Here is a 14,372-nt window from a genome sequence, read left to right on the forward strand (position 1 = left end):
TCTAAAACAAAAAGAGCAAAATAAGCTTAAAGCAAGCAGAGAGAAGGAAATGATAAAGATTAAGGCAGAAGTGAAACGGCCAAACCAGAAAAGAGCAAAAAACCTCCTTAAGAAAAATGAAAAAGCCCAAGGAAGGAAAAACAAAAGAGAATGGTCATGAGATTCATTTGGTGATTACTTAGAGCTGGTAAGCAGATGAAAATAAATCAAGTAGTTGCTTTAGCTTCTTCTCTGGAAAGAATGCAGATGACTAGGCATGAATAGGAACGATCACCCCAGTACCCTGCTGTGAAAGAAGTCGCATCACTGAGTTCTTAAGCCCAAGCATAAATGTAATTATTTTTTTTTTCACATTTTAGGCTAAAGTATGAGGTAAAAAGCAAAAGTCCTCTGAAAGTCAAAATGTCTTATTGAAATGTTTGAAATATTGGCAATGAAATTTCCTACCACTATTTAACAGGATAACCTAAAAGATCAACAGTTGTCTATTAACTCAAGGCTCTGAAGGCAAGCCACGATCAAGCTAAAATTATGCAATTTTACACATGATATCAATATTGGTTGTTTCATATAATTCTGGATCTCTCCCCAAACCACCAACAATACTGGATATAGGTTTTGTCAAAAAGGCTTTCTTACCTCATAGAAGAAGGGATGTCCAGCCATATCAAAGATGTTAACTTTGATTTCTCTGTCTCTGACGTGTACCCTGAAATGTTCAAATGGAAACAATCCGAAAGAAAGTCATGGTTTCTCCATTTACCTTAATATCATTTATAAATTTCAAAAGGATATGTGTATGCAATTTAAGAAGCTTTCTTAGTGCCTCTTCCTCATTCCAGATCATCTTTACAATAGCAGTCAGCAACCTGACAGATGATCCTGCCTTCTTATCCCAAGAACACTGAACCCACATGGAGTAGGCATTCTCAATTACTTCACTTTCACCTTCACTTCTAGAAACTTTGGTCCACAGCTCCCAACCAACAAAGGGTAGCTATTACTATGGTATTAAGAAAAATTGATTTGGGATAAGTAGGAGCAAGATGAAGGAAAATGAAAAGTTTTATTTCACTTAGTAAGAGACATCTTAATTACCACTGGTTATATTTGGTTATCACACAGCAGAATAACAACGATGTATATTAATGACGTCTGTTTAATTTTCTTGTGATCTTTATTTGAGCAAGAGCAATAGTGAATTTGTTTTCAGATATTTGGAAATAAAGAATAAAACCAAAGGGGAAACAATAACCATTCATATTAGAATTAACTACTGTTAACATCATAGCATATTTGTTCCTAGTCTTTTTTTTCATGAAAAATCACCATTGGAAAATGATAAAGGAACATTAGAAATAATTCAAACACTAGGCCGGACACGGTGGCTCACGCCTGTAATCCCAGCACTGTGGGAGGCCGAGATGGGCGGATCATGAGGTCAGGAGATCGAGACCATCCTGGCTAACATAGTGAAACCCCGTCCCTACTAAAAAAATAAAAAAAATTAGCCGGGCGTGGTGGTGGGCACCTGTAGTCCCAGCTACTCAGGAGGCTGAGGCAGGAGAATGGCATGAACCCGGGAGGTGGAGCTTGCAGTGAGCCGAGATCACGCCACTGCACTCCAACCTGGGCGACTGAGTAAGACTCCGTCTCAAAAAAAAAAAAAAAAGAAAAATAAATAATTCAAACACAAAAGAAAAACACAAAGATGAATGTTTAAAAGTTATTCCAGGCCAACAGGTAGAGAGGGAGAGAGATGTAGTGAAATGACCTATCTATATTCCCTATGATTCCAGCCATCTCTGAGGCCCAGCTGCATCCTTGTTGCTAGATTATGTGAACTGATTAATATCCATTTTCTTTTATTTTGCTTAAGTTGGTTTGAAATAGGTTTCTGTCAATTATATCCTCCTGACTCATCATGGGACAAACATCTCTTCCAAAAAAATTTCTGCCAGAAACAAAATAGTCTGTTGACTATACCATGGTCCTTTGGCATAATATGGTAATTCTCACATCTTAGATAAATAAACTAGCTACTTATATGAATTCAGAACAAAACTATCTTAAATAGGATGTCCTACTATATCACTGATGAAATCCTATGCTTTGAAGCAGGAAAGAGGAAAAGAAAACTAGAAAGAAAGGTAAATTTCAGGCTGGACGCGGTGGCTCACACCTGTAATCCGAACACTTTGGGAGGCCGAGGTGGACGGATCACGAGGTCAGGAGTTTGAGACCAGCCTGGCCAACATGGTGAAACCCTGTCTCTACTAAGAATACAAAAATTAGCTGGGCGTGGTGACATGTGCCTGTAATCCCAGCTACTTGGGAGGCTGAGGCAGGAGAATCGCTTAAACCCGGGAGGCGGAAGTTGCAGCAAGCTGAGGTTGCAGTGAGCCAAGATCGCGCCACTGCACTCCAGCCTGAGCGACAAGAGCGAAACTCTGTCTCAGGGAAAAGAAAAAAAAAAGAATGTGAATTTCATTTTTATTTTTATTTATTTTTGAGGAGTCTCACTCTGTTGCCCAGGCTGGAGTGCAGTGGCATAATCTTGGCTCACTGCAACCTCCGCCTCCGGGGTTCAAGTGATTCTCCCACCTCAGCCTCCCAAGTAGTTGGGATTATAGGCAACTGCCACCACGTCCGGCTAATTTTTGTATTTTTAGTAGAGATAGGGTTTCACCATGTTGGCCAGGCTGGTCTCAAACTCCTGGCCTCAGGTGATCTGCCTGCCTTGGCCTCCCAAAGTGCTAGGATTACAGGCATGAGCCACCGTGCCAAGCCAGAAATGTGAATTTCAAATGAAGAGCTTCATACATTTCACTGCCAAGAGCTACAATTTTCATTCTTTAAAGAAAATTTGCAGAAATACCCTCTGCTGCTGTCAGTTGAAAAATGGTGCTGTAAGAGCATTACACACAACTCTTGAGTTTTACTCTACCATTTACTGGGGCCACTTTAAAAAGCCATGAAGGATACATCTGAACTTGACTCCACTCTTCACCTAATCGACATTCTGCTAGCTATATGTCAAAACTTTAGTCTACCTTCTTAAATATTGCCCTCATAGTCTAATCTGGCAAACTTCCTCTTTAGATGTACCTATCTTACCTAACAATAAATATTTATTGAGTACCTATTAGGTATAAGCACTATGCCAGGCACTTGGAGAAAATTTATACTAATAAATTTTCAGGGAGTTTATAATCTAGCAGGAGACATTACACATATACAAATAATAACAATACAAGGCAATTTTTGGTAAGTACCATAAATACCATAGACAACTTTAGGATTTCTGTCATTTGCAACCAAAAAGAGTCCTGACCAATAAAGGGCATGTTTAGAAGACCTTACGGGAACAGGAGAATGTTTATATCTTGGAGAAATGGGCAGGGCTGTTCCAAGTGGACAGGCTGGATAATGGTGCTGAGGTAGAAAGTCTGAGGGTAGCAGTTCAGCATGGATGGAAAGTAAAGTGTGTAACAGAAAAGACAAAAGGGGAAAGGCCAGAGTGGGGCCAAGATAGTGAACACCTGAAATTTCATGTTTAAGGAGTATGCTATCTACCCCAATTCTACTGTATGGGTATTTCCTGCTAATTATATCCAACTCTTCAAGCTCAACCCCCTCCTGACTCATCTCCAGATAAATCCCCAATTGGACCCAACTTTACTTTTCCCAATTCATTTTTTTTTTCTTTTTTTGTGATGAAGTCTCACTGTCGCCCAGGCTGGAGTGCAATGGCACAGTCTCAGCTCACTGCAACCTCTGCCTCCCGGGTTCAAGTGATTCTCCTGCCTCAGCATCCTGAGTAGCTGGGACTACAGGTGTGTGCCACCACACCCGGCTAATTTTTGCATTTTTCTTAGAGACAGGGTTTCACTGTGTTGGTCAGGCTGGTCTTGAACTCCTGACCTCGTTATCCGCCCGTCTCGGCCTCCCAACGTGCTGGGATTACAGGTATAAGCCACTGCATCTGGCCCATTTTTGCTGGATTCTAATAGCTATGAAGATCATAAACCAATAAAAAAACTTCTCTGGTAGAAAATGTTCCACACAATATTTATAGACTTTTTAGAGAGAATATTTCAAAATGCTCTAAAAACACACCTGCTGGAAGGACCTGCTAATATAAAAACATGTTTCCTGGAAAGTTACACCTGCCATTTAGGCTTTGTGTTGACATGTTCATTGCTGTAGCCTACACCTAACACGAGGCCTGGTGAATGGGATGTGCTCAATACCAATACACAGGCTGAATGAATGATATGATCACTAGATACCTGTAAAGGTCTACTATTCCTATCTTTCCCAACTTATCTTCAAAGTCTCCATTTCAAGATTACCTACACAAGAGCACTGATGCAAATATGGATCATTTTGGAAAGTTCTGAACTTCTATGTAACTTACAAACCCAGGGAAACAATATACTTACTTTGTGACTCCATAGTCAATTCCAATTGTTGCCAGGTATTTAGACACGAATCTTTTCTCACAGTATCGCTTTATAATACAGCTCTAAAAAGGTAAAAAATACAGGCATTTAGTAAATACATAGTGAGAACACATACAGAATAAGTATATTTCTTCATTATGGTTCCTCCATTCATCACTATGAAAAAGCATTTTCAAAAGACAAAAGTGGCGGGGCGCGGTGGCTCACGCCTGTCATCTCAGCACTTTCAGAGGCCAAGGCGGGTGGATCACCTGAGGTCAGGAGTTCAAGATTAGCCTGGCCAACATGGCGAAACCCCGTCTCTACAAAAATACAAAAATCAGCCGGGCATGGTGGCAGGCATCTGTAATCCCAGCTACTCGGGAAGCTGAGGCAGGAGAATTGTGTAAACCCGGGAGGCGGAGGTTGCAGTGAGCTGAGATTGCTGCCATTGCACTCCAGCCTGGGTGGTAAGAGTGAACGCTTGTCTAAAAAAAAAAAAAAGACAAAACTATAAAATAACTGAAACAAGTGTTAAAAGATTTTAAGAAAAATTATTTTTAAATTCTTCCCTTATTACTAAATATGCATATGTTTTCAGTTGAGTTCTCAATCCTGTGCTCTTTTCTTCTGAAGATGTCTTCTATTCTTATGCTTTCAACGATACCACCAAAATATCTGTCTAGCCTTGACCTCACTGCCAAGACCAGATCCACATCTCTAAATATCTATTAGATTAATTCCTTTTTTTTTTTTTTTTTGAGCCTAGGAGGAGAGGCTGCAGTGAGCCACGATGATGCCACTGCACTCCAGCCTGGGTGGCAGAGGGAGACCCTGTCTCAAAAAGAGAAAAAAAATTTCCTGTTAAATCAATTGAATTGGGTTTGTCCTACTTGCAGTAAAAAGTACTCACTTCACAGAGTATTGTACATACTTCTAGAGTTTGCTTTTCTCTCTTAACAATAATAAATTATGGTTCCCAAGTTAACTTTAAAATAGCTCTACTCACTTTTTTATGGTTACACAATAGTCTGTGATATGCAAATATTCCCTCCATTTCATTGCTTGCTAGTTACTTTGTCATTTGTTTTAATTTGCTGTTTGAGTCAATGATTATTTACTAAGGCATTCCTTAATTTTTAACTTTAAAATGCTTTACCTGTATATCATCCTATATTTTCCAAATCCTTTAAAATGAGTATGTGTTACTTTTACAACTAAGGCAAAATAATAAGTTTTTTTAAAAGTTACACTTAAATCTTTTATCCATCTAGAATTTATTTATTTATTTATTTATTTATTATTATTATTTTTTTTGTAGAGACGGGGTTTCACCATGTTGGCCAGGATGGTCTCGATCTGACCCCGTGAACCGCCCGCCTCGGTCTCCCAAAGTGCTGAGATTACAGGCGTGAGCCACTGTGTCCGGCCTAGAATTTATTTTTGAGAAAGGAATGTAATAGGAATCCAACCTACTCTCAAATAGTAGACAGTTGTTACAACAATATTTACTAAATGGTCTCTATTTTCCCATAATTTTACTACATTTGTGTAAATTGAATTTCCTTACGTATCTGGGTTTATTACTGGACTCTACTCTGTTCCACTGATGTCTCCATATTTCCTTCCCAATACCAATGGGAAAAGTTTGGTAGCTTAAAAAAAATTTTTTTTTAAATTAAACAATCATTTTATTGCTTGAGTACATAGACAAATTTATATGACCAGGACAGAGGCTGTAGATTACTCACTTCCAACTGGGAGGGAGGATTTGCTTGGTCTTACAATATTGAGCCAAAGGGTGACTCTACCTCTCTATCAGAATCAGACAGAATTTACCATCCTTATCCTTTCTGTTCATCTCAAGATGCTTTTGAACAATAACTACTTCTTAATTAAATGGTAGAGATCTTCAGGGAGATCAGGAGCAAGTCCCTTCTTGGACTTAAGAATTCTTAAGATGCTATTGCCTGTCACAAAACGTACTTGAGCAACACCATGTGAGTCTCTCAAGAACCAAACTTGAAAAGGGAATCATGTTTTAACTTCCAATACCAAACACAAACTGGAGAACGTGATGATGTCAAGGCTCAGGTATCATGGCATAGTTTCCTATTTGTAAGATGGGGGTCTACTTTTATACATCACAGAAACCAACATGGGAATGCATGCAAAGCTCTCATAGACATCCAAGGAAGGTTTACCGAACACTAAGGAAAATCTTTCTGGTGGAAACTGTGAACGTTGAAAAACCATCATCACAGTGAAAAAAAATTTTTTTTTTCTTTTTAGAGTCTCACTCTGTCGCCTAGGCTGGAGTGCAGTGGCACAATCTGGGCTTACTGCAACCTCCACCTCCCAGGTTCAAGGCAATTCTCCTGCCTCAGCTTCCTGAGTAGCTGGGACTACAAGCGTGCGCCACCATGCCTGGCTAATTTTTTGTATTTTAGTAGAGATGGGGTTTCACCATGTTGCCCAGGCTGGTCTCGAACTCCTGAGCTCAGGCAATCCACCTGCCTCTGCCTCCCAAAGTGCTAGAATTACAGGCGTGAGCCACTGCGCCCGGCCTGAAAAATATTTTTAAATGGCTGATACAGTTGGTCTTCTTTCATTTCTTTTTTTTCCCCACAATTTTCTTTGTTGTTTTCACATTAATTTTTCATGAAGACTTTAGTAGTCTTGTATTATGTTCTGGGAAAAAAAAACCCTTATTGATGTTTTCACTGGAATTGAATTTCATTTGTAGGTTGAGTAATTCACATCTGTACAATATTGTGTAATCCCACGTAAGGAAAAAGTATATCTTTCCATTTGCCTAAGTAATTTATCTCCCTTTGTAGAGTTTGAAACTTGTCTTCATATAGGTGCTGCCTATTTCATGTTAAGTTTAAACCTAGGAACTTTATTTTTGTTGTAACTGTAAATTAAAATTGTTTTTCAATTACACATTCCAACTGAATATAATTTGGACACAATAAAGTTATTAATTTGTGGGTAATAATTTTGCTTTATTGAATTTTTATAATGTTTCTAATAGTTTTTCAGTTATTTCTCTTTGGGTTTCCAGGTAAACAATCGTATTATTAGCAAATAATGTTAATTTTACCTTCTCTTTTCTAATATTTTTATATTCTCTTACTCTTGTCTAATTGCACTGGCTAATAAAACTAGAAAAATGTTAAGTAGATGTGGTGACACTGGGCATTCTGAGCTGCTTCTAATGTTGTATCATTAGGCACAGTAAAATTACTTTTTTTTTTTTTTTTTTTTTTGAGACGGCGTCTCACTCTGCCGCCCAGGCTGGAGTGCAATGGCGTGATCTCGGCTCACTGCAGCCTCTGCCTCCCCGGCTTAAGCGATTCTCCCGCCTCGGCCTCCCAAGTAGCTGGGATTAAAGGCGTGCACCACCATGCCTGGCTAATTTTGCATTTTTAGTAGAGACAGGATTTCACTATGCTGGTCTTGAACTCCTGACCTCAAGTGATCCGCCCGCCTCGTCCTCCCAAAGTGCTGATGTATTACAGGCCTGAGCTAGCGTGCCCAGTCCCTAGAAAAAAAAAAACACCTCGTACACAGCTGACGTTCAAAAAAATGTTGACTTTCAGTGAATACTATGCTAGCACATACACACAAAAGTAGTACGGGATCATGCTACACAGAAATAAAAAACACTAAGTAAACATTTACTGAGCATCTCCTGGGTGCCAGGCACTGGACTAGGCACTGCCTTAACAGCTCTTTCGGAGTTGATTTTGAACGCATACAACGACGGAAAGAGCACCGCAGTGGGAATGTGAAGACTTAGGTTCTAATCTTTCCTCGGTCACTGATTTGATGACCTTGGGAAGTTCTTAACCAACAGATTCCACTTGCCCAAAAGGAAAGAATTTGAGTGAAGAGGAGGCCGTCTTGGAATTCATAAGGGAAAAGGCCTCAGGTTACCTCTGGCCTTCCCTCCCCACGTACTAAAGGAGAGTTTATAGCTGATGAACCACAGATGGGGCAGAGAGAAGGGCGGTGGAACTAACAGATATGGGGACACCACCAAAAATAAAACACAACGCAAAACAAAACAGCGCGGACCCCGGCCATCCCTTGCACCTCCCCTGTGAAACACGTCAACGTCAGTTACGCTCTCTCGTGACGGGAATGCAGAATCTGGGCTGCCGGGCACCATTTCGCGAACCCCAAATTCTCACACGCACCCCATAACGTTCCGCCGGCTCCCAGGCCCGGCTGGGGGAACTAAACTTTCATCCTCCATCTCCCGGTCCCGGACGGCCCCCTAGAACGCGGGCAAGGTATCTAGGCCGACGGCCCCTCATGGGGACCCAGGCCTTCTTACTCTTTTGGGGGTACATTCAAGGCTTAGAGGCCACCCCAGACACCATCTCCGGAAGAGTGACGTCGGAGGACGAGGGGGCAACGGAAAGGTCAAAAAGGTCGGGGAGTTTCGTTCGCGGAGCCGCACCCCTCGGCTGAGACCCGGGCCTGCTCGGGGGCGGAGAGGAGGCCGGGCCCCAGGCTGTTGAGTGGCCGCCCTTCCAGCCAATGGACACGTCGCCCCGCCACGCTGGGGCCCGCCCCTCCCGGCTCGCTGTACTCACTTTCCCCACTTCGGCGTTGCCCATGGAGATGACTTTGATGCGGAGAGACCTGCCGGGCTCCTTCCGCTTCGGCATGTTGGCCTCCATGGCCCTGGCTCTCTCGGGGCCACCCGCCTCGGTCTCTTCTTGTGCACCGCTGGCCCGTCCCTCAGGCCTCCTCGTCCAATGGCGGAGCCGCTGCTCTCGTCACCGCCTCGCCTCCGCTGCTCGCCATCCCCGCCGCTGCCTGGCAGCAGGCGCGGGCGGTTGGGAGCGTGGGGAGCCGGGGGAGGGAGACGGGAGTCTCGCGATGCTAGCGCGGGGCTGCTGACGTCATCTGCAGGCCCTGGAGACGCGACTGCAGTTACCGAGTTTCTAAGGCCTCGTCCCCTGACGGGAAGGCGGCGTTGGGGGGCGGCTGGGTTTACCCTTCGAGGTGAGCGCGTCCTTGTTTTCAGGGACGCCCGGACGGGAGGCGTTTGTTGCTTTCGCAGCCGAGTGGTGGAAATGTATTGGCTCTTCAGGGCGGGTCTGGTAGTGTCTCGTCCGTTTGGGAGTGTTTTTTTTTTTTTCTGGATTCTTTTTCGGTTCCATGGGCCGGGCTGCTGCTCCTCTTCCCCCTCCAATATTTTGTTCCCCTTGCTCGAGATCCCCGAGAGGCAGACCCCAAAGCCAGGAAAGTGGGGAGGTCGGAACCCTGGTTCTGGAAGAGGGCCTTGGGCAAGGCGTGAAGCGATTCTGAATCTGGTTCCTATTGTTTTTTATTTTAAATGGAGTTGTCTATTTGGAGTCAAGGCAAGAGTGTTTAGTCTTGGCCCTCCTATTACAGATCTCTGATGGATTTGTTGACTCCTCTGTGGGAGAAAGGCTTGGTCTACTGCAGGTGTTAACGCTAAGCCAGGCTGGAGCTGTGGACGTCAGTTTCCTCAGCTCCCCGCTGTTCGCTTCGAACGTGACCTCGACGTCTGCTCTCCCCTTCCCTTTAGCTGACAATGTGACAGTGCTTGAATAAAAGTCAGTCTGACAGGAACGGTAATTTTTTTTCAGTGAATATCTTCAGTTACAGAAGATAAATAGAACTTGACAATGATTATTTATAGTGCCCTGAAAAAAAATGGCTGCCAATTTCCCTGTATATTACAAAGACAAAAGTAGCATTGCTTCTTTTCTCACCTAACTTTAAACATCTTAAGGGAAGTGCATTACAGGAAGGCAATGAGCAAAGGCTCAACATTTCACAGTAAAGTCAGATTTTCCACATTTTAATTTTAAAATGTGTTTTTTAAACATTAAGTTTTTTTTAAGACAAGTTTATTCTGGATTGTTTTGATAATCAAATAATATAACTTAATTCACTGAAGCTTCTAAAATTATTTACAAATATGAAATATAAGTCCTGGTTAGAATTTGGATAGTTTTAAAGCTTAAAAGAATCCACATGCTAACTTCTCAGTATGATTTAATAAATCAAATTACTAAACATGTAATTTCTTCGACAGTTCACCTTTGGCCCTGTAATAGGGTAACTGGTATTGTGGAAGAATAATTATAAAATGTCAAATCTTCAGCTGTTATGATTGATTAAGTATGGTGCTGTTGAGACTAAGCAGTAAAACATGCCACAGATTTAAATTGATTACTATTTTTTTCATATTGATGGGGTTTTTTTTGTTTTTGTTTTTGTTTTTGAGACAGAGTTTCCCTCTTGTTGCCCAGGCTAGAGTGCAGTGGCACAATCTCTGCTCACTGCAACCCCTGTGTCCCGGGTTCAAGCAATTCACCTGCCTCAGCCACCCGAGTAGCTGGGATTACAGGCACCCACCGGTATACGCAGATAATTTTTGTATTTTTAGTAGAGACGGGGTTTCACCATATTGGCCAGGCTGGTCTCGAACTCCTGACCTCAGGTGACCCTCCTGCCTTTGCCTCCCAAAGTGTTGGGATTACAGGCATGAGCCACAGCGTCCGGCCCATATTGATGCTTTTGACACTTTATTGTATATAGCTACATTTTCTACTGTGTGTATTAAATTAGTTTGGAATCGAAAGAGCAAGAAAGTTGTTTTTTTTCCCCCACTCTTTGAATATAAAAAAATAAAAATCAGCACGAGTTAGCTGCTTTTTCCATAGTATGGACCTGGGAGGTATAGTGTGAGCATGGATTCTGGAGCCAGCCCGATACACTTAATCTTGGCATATGTTGTAGGCATGAGGTGGTGATAAGGATTGTAGGAGATAATGCACAGGAAGTACGTAGTAGTCTCCCAGCAAACAGCAGCCACATGCTCTCATTTGCTCATACTTTTTTATGTGTTAAGAAAAATCCTACATCTTTTTAATGTGTATTTTTAGAAAGTAAATTATGAAATATTTAGGACATACTTAAAGGTATAAAGTATAATGGAATGAATAGCCATGTATCCCCCACCCAATTTAAGAAATAAAATATCACCACTGGGCATGGTAGCCCACCCCATAATCCCAGCACCTTGGGAGGCCAAGGCCAGTGGATCATTTGAGCCCAGGAGTTTGAGATCAGCCTGGGCAACATGGCAGAACCCTGTCTCTACGAAAAAAAAAGCCGTTGTGGTAGCCCAAGCCTGTAGTCCCAGCCACGCGGGAGGCTGAGGTTGGAGAATCACCTGAGCCTGGGAGGTTGAGGCCACAGTGAGCTGTGGTCGTGCCACTGCACTCCAGCCTGGGCAACAAAGTTGGACCCTGTCTCTAAATAAATAAATGAAACAAGAAAACATCACTGATACTGTGCGTAGCCTTTCCCAATACATCCCTCTTCCCTCTCTACAAACAGTTGCAACAATCTGAATGCTGCTTTAATTTCCAGGCATTTAAAATTGTTTTACTATATATGAATATATACCTTAAAATGTAGTATTGCATTTCATCTTTCAAAACTGTTTTGAAATAATTTTACACAGAAAATTTCAAGAATGAGACCAAAAAATCTTGTCTACCCTTTATCCAAATTCATCAGTTGTTAACATTTTGTCCCATTTTTTCTATCACTTGTGCTATCTATATGTACATGTATACTCAAATGTTTCTGAGTAGTTTGAGGTTTATTTGCAGACATTTTAATAGATAGATATACATAGATAGATATAAACACAGGCCCAGCTGGGTGGCTCACACCTATAATCCCAGCACTTTGGGATGCCAAGACGGGTAGATCACTTGAGGTTAGGAGTTCGAGACCAGCCTTGCCAACATGGTGAAACCCCATCTGTACTAAAAATACAAAAATTAGCCAGATGTGGTGGCAGGCACCTGTAATCCCAGTGACTTGGGAGGCTGAGGCAGGAGAATTGCTCAAAAATATATATAAAGACATATATAATATATACACATATATATATAGTGTGTATATATACATATATGAATATATGTCATACTTACCTATATATGTATTTCTTTTTTTTTAGAGAAGGAGTCTCACTGTGTTGCCCAGGCTGGTTTTGAACTCCTGGGCTCAAGCAGTCCTCCTGCCTCAGCCTCCCAAAGTGCTGAGATTATAGGCATGAGCCAATGTGCCCAGCCAGCTTGTTTCTTTATCCATAAATAATGTGTGTTTCCTCAGAAGGACTTTCTTCTACATGGCAACAGTGATTTATCAAAATCAGAAAATGCAGCATTTATACAGCACTATTATAAAATCCTGTGGTTTGAATCAAACTGTACACTGAGGTACCTCACATCCCCACAGTAAATCCACGGGGGGATATCTGTGGAATAGCTTGCATTCTAAATTTTCAAGGCAAACAAAATGAAATCTAAATGACTGTACAAAACTACTAGCTTGAAGTTGTTTACAGTTTCAACAATAGATGGCGCCAAATTCCTTGGCTATGTCATGTCTTGGGGCATCTAGGCTTTCCAGTTGGTTGTGATGAAAAGTGAGTACACTGGGCCGGGCGCAGTGGCTCACGCCTGTAATCCCAGCACTCTGGGAGGCCGAGGCGGGCGGATCACGAGGTCAGGAGATCGAGACCATTCTGGCTAACACAGTGAAACCTCGTCACTACTAAAAAATACAAAAAATTAGCTGGATGTGGTGGTAGGCGCCTGTAATCCCAGCTACTCGGGAGGCTGAGGCAGGAGGATACCTTGAACCTGGAAGGCGGAGGTTGCAGTGAGCCGAGATAGCACCACTGCACTCCAGCCTGGGTGACAGAGCGAGACTCCCTCTCAAAACAAAACAAAACAAAACAAAACCCTGAGATGCTGAAAGCACTGTGAACAAAGAAAATTTGGGAAACTTTTATCTAATTCACAGTTAACACTCAAATTTCACCATTTGTCCCAATAATATTCTTTATAGCTGTGTTTGACTTGGTCAACTGGTCTAGGATCTAATCTAGGATCATTTAGTTACATATCTTTAGTCTTTAAGCTGGAATGGTTCCTCAGCTTTTCTTTTTCTTTCAAAATGACGGTTATTTTTAGAATATTCCTCAATTTGTGTTTGTTTGTGTATTCTTGAAATTAGAGTCAGTTATGTTATATTTGGCTGGAATACCACAGAAAAGATGTTATGGGCCAGGTGCGGTGGCTCATACCTGTAATCCCAGCACTTTGGGAGGCCAAGGTGAGCAGATTACCTGAGGTCAGGAGTTCGAGAGCAGCCTGGCCGACATGGTGAAGCCGTGTCTCTACCAAAAGTACAAAAAAATTAGCTGAGCATGGTTGCACGTGTCTGTAGTCCCAGCTACTCGGGAGGCTGAGGCACAAGAATTGCTTGAACCTGGGAGGCAGAGGTTACGGTGAGCCGAGATCATGCCACTGCACTCTAGCCTGGGTGACAGAGCAAGACTCCATCTAAACAAACAAAGATACTATGTCCTTTTTGGGCAGCATATCAGTTGGGATGCCAATTTTTTCCATTTATTAATGATGCTTACTTTAGTTCATTGGTTAAGGTGGGGTTCATGAAGCTGATCTACAGTAAAGTGACTTTTCCCTTTGTAATAAGTAGTTTTTAAAGGGATACTTGGAGATTATATGGCTATCCTTTCTTCACTGAACTTTCACCCACAAATTTTTAGAATCCAGTGATTACTTATGGCTGAAGAGATTATTACTATGATGGACGCAAAATGCTGATTTTCCAACTCCATCATTCCATTTATATTTATTACTTGGTATTCTACCATAAGGAAAAGCTTTCCTTTCTCATTCATTCATTTGTATCAGTATGGCCTTGTATATGCTTATTTTACTCCATGAATATTATTATTTATTTTGATACTCAGGTTGGCTCGTATGTCCTTTTGATGTCTTCACCTTTGTTGTTGTTGTTGTTTCTGTGTTTGTTTAGCACTTTCTT

General features: G+C 41.8%; 1 protein-coding gene, 1 long non-coding RNA gene and 1 pseudogene across 7 annotated transcripts in view, besides 9 other annotated features; 1 reads left to right on the forward strand and 2 right to left on the reverse strand.

Annotated features, from left to right (window-relative positions):
• Nucleotides 1-9,329, reverse strand: part of DNAJC27 (DnaJ heat shock protein family (Hsp40) member C27) — a 28,459-nt gene extending 19,130 nt beyond the window's left edge. For 3 of the 6 annotated variants that reach the window (XR_007076386.1, NM_001198559.1, XM_011532902.2), the window contains exons 1-3: nt 9,053-9,329; nt 4,446-4,528; nt 640-709 (exon numbers count right to left, since the gene is read on the reverse strand). Coding sequence is in view for 5 of the 6 variants with exons in the window: in NM_001198559.1 (NP_001185488.1) it covers nt 640-709; nt 4,446-4,528; nt 9,053-9,139 (240 nt within the window). In the remaining variant the exon portion in view is untranslated. Of the gene's footprint in view, nt 1-639; nt 710-4,445; nt 4,529-8,650; nt 8,662-8,790; nt 8,852-9,052 lie in introns of those variants that run through there. The other 3 variants (XM_047444647.1, XM_047444648.1, NM_016544.3) reach the window with 3 other exon arrangements.
• On the reverse strand, nt 6,118-6,472 carry RPS13P5 (ribosomal protein S13 pseudogene 5; annotated as a pseudogene).
• Nucleotides 8,601-8,730: an enhancer, noted in NCBI's record as "active region_15438". NCBI's record gives its function as "activates an Ori minimal core promoter by ATAC-STARR-seq in GM12878 lymphoblastoid cells {active_cell/tissue: GM12878}" and the evidence as "EXISTENCE:reporter gene assay evidence [ECO:0000049][PMID:35858748]".
• Nucleotides 8,601-9,220: a biological region, named in NCBI's record as "H3K27ac hESC enhancer GRCh37_chr2:25194318-25194836".
• Nucleotides 8,684-9,202: an enhancer, noted in NCBI's record as "H3K27ac hESC enhancer chr2:25194318-25194836 (GRCh37/hg19 assembly coordinates)". NCBI's record gives its function as "activates a minimal SCP1, AML or CMV promoter by ChIP-STARR-seq in primed H9 embryonic stem cells {active_cell/tissue: H9 hESC(primed)}" and the evidence as "EXISTENCE:reporter gene assay evidence [ECO:0000049][PMID:30033119]".
• Nucleotides 8,741-8,850: an enhancer, noted in NCBI's record as "active region_15439". NCBI's record gives its function as "activates an Ori minimal core promoter by ATAC-STARR-seq in GM12878 lymphoblastoid cells {active_cell/tissue: GM12878}" and the evidence as "EXISTENCE:reporter gene assay evidence [ECO:0000049][PMID:35858748]".
• Nucleotides 8,901-8,980: a silencer, noted in NCBI's record as "silent region_11239". NCBI's record gives its function as "represses an Ori minimal core promoter by ATAC-STARR-seq in GM12878 lymphoblastoid cells {active_cell/tissue: GM12878}" and the evidence as "EXISTENCE:reporter gene assay evidence [ECO:0000049][PMID:35858748]".
• Nucleotides 9,111-9,220: an enhancer, noted in NCBI's record as "active region_15440". NCBI's record gives its function as "activates an Ori minimal core promoter by ATAC-STARR-seq in GM12878 lymphoblastoid cells {active_cell/tissue: GM12878}" and the evidence as "EXISTENCE:reporter gene assay evidence [ECO:0000049][PMID:35858748]".
• Nucleotides 9,203-9,721: an enhancer, noted in NCBI's record as "H3K27ac hESC enhancer chr2:25194837-25195355 (GRCh37/hg19 assembly coordinates)". NCBI's record gives its function as "activates a minimal SCP1, AML or CMV promoter by ChIP-STARR-seq in naive and primed H9 embryonic stem cells {active_cell/tissue: H9 hESC(naive and primed)}" and the evidence as "EXISTENCE:reporter gene assay evidence [ECO:0000049][PMID:30033119]".
• The window catches only part of DNAJC27-AS1 (DNAJC27 antisense RNA 1), a 67,583-nt gene continuing 62,557 nt past the window's right edge, over nt 9,347-14,372 (forward strand). The window contains exon 1 of the long non-coding RNA NR_034113.1: nt 9,347-9,467. This is a non-coding gene — a long non-coding RNA (DNAJC27 antisense RNA 1). The remainder of the gene's footprint in view (nt 9,468-14,372) is intronic.
• Nucleotides 9,431-9,510: an enhancer, noted in NCBI's record as "active region_15441". NCBI's record gives its function as "activates an Ori minimal core promoter by ATAC-STARR-seq in GM12878 lymphoblastoid cells {active_cell/tissue: GM12878}" and the evidence as "EXISTENCE:reporter gene assay evidence [ECO:0000049][PMID:35858748]".
• Nucleotides 9,722-10,239: an enhancer, noted in NCBI's record as "H3K27ac hESC enhancer chr2:25195356-25195873 (GRCh37/hg19 assembly coordinates)". NCBI's record gives its function as "activates a minimal SCP1, AML or CMV promoter by ChIP-STARR-seq in naive H9 embryonic stem cells {active_cell/tissue: H9 hESC(naive)}" and the evidence as "EXISTENCE:reporter gene assay evidence [ECO:0000049][PMID:30033119]".

This window comes from Homo sapiens, chromosome 2, assembly GCF_000001405.40.
Source record: "Homo sapiens chromosome 2, GRCh38.p14 Primary Assembly".
Classification (NCBI taxonomy): Eukaryota; Metazoa; Chordata; class Mammalia; order Primates; family Hominidae; genus Homo; species Homo sapiens.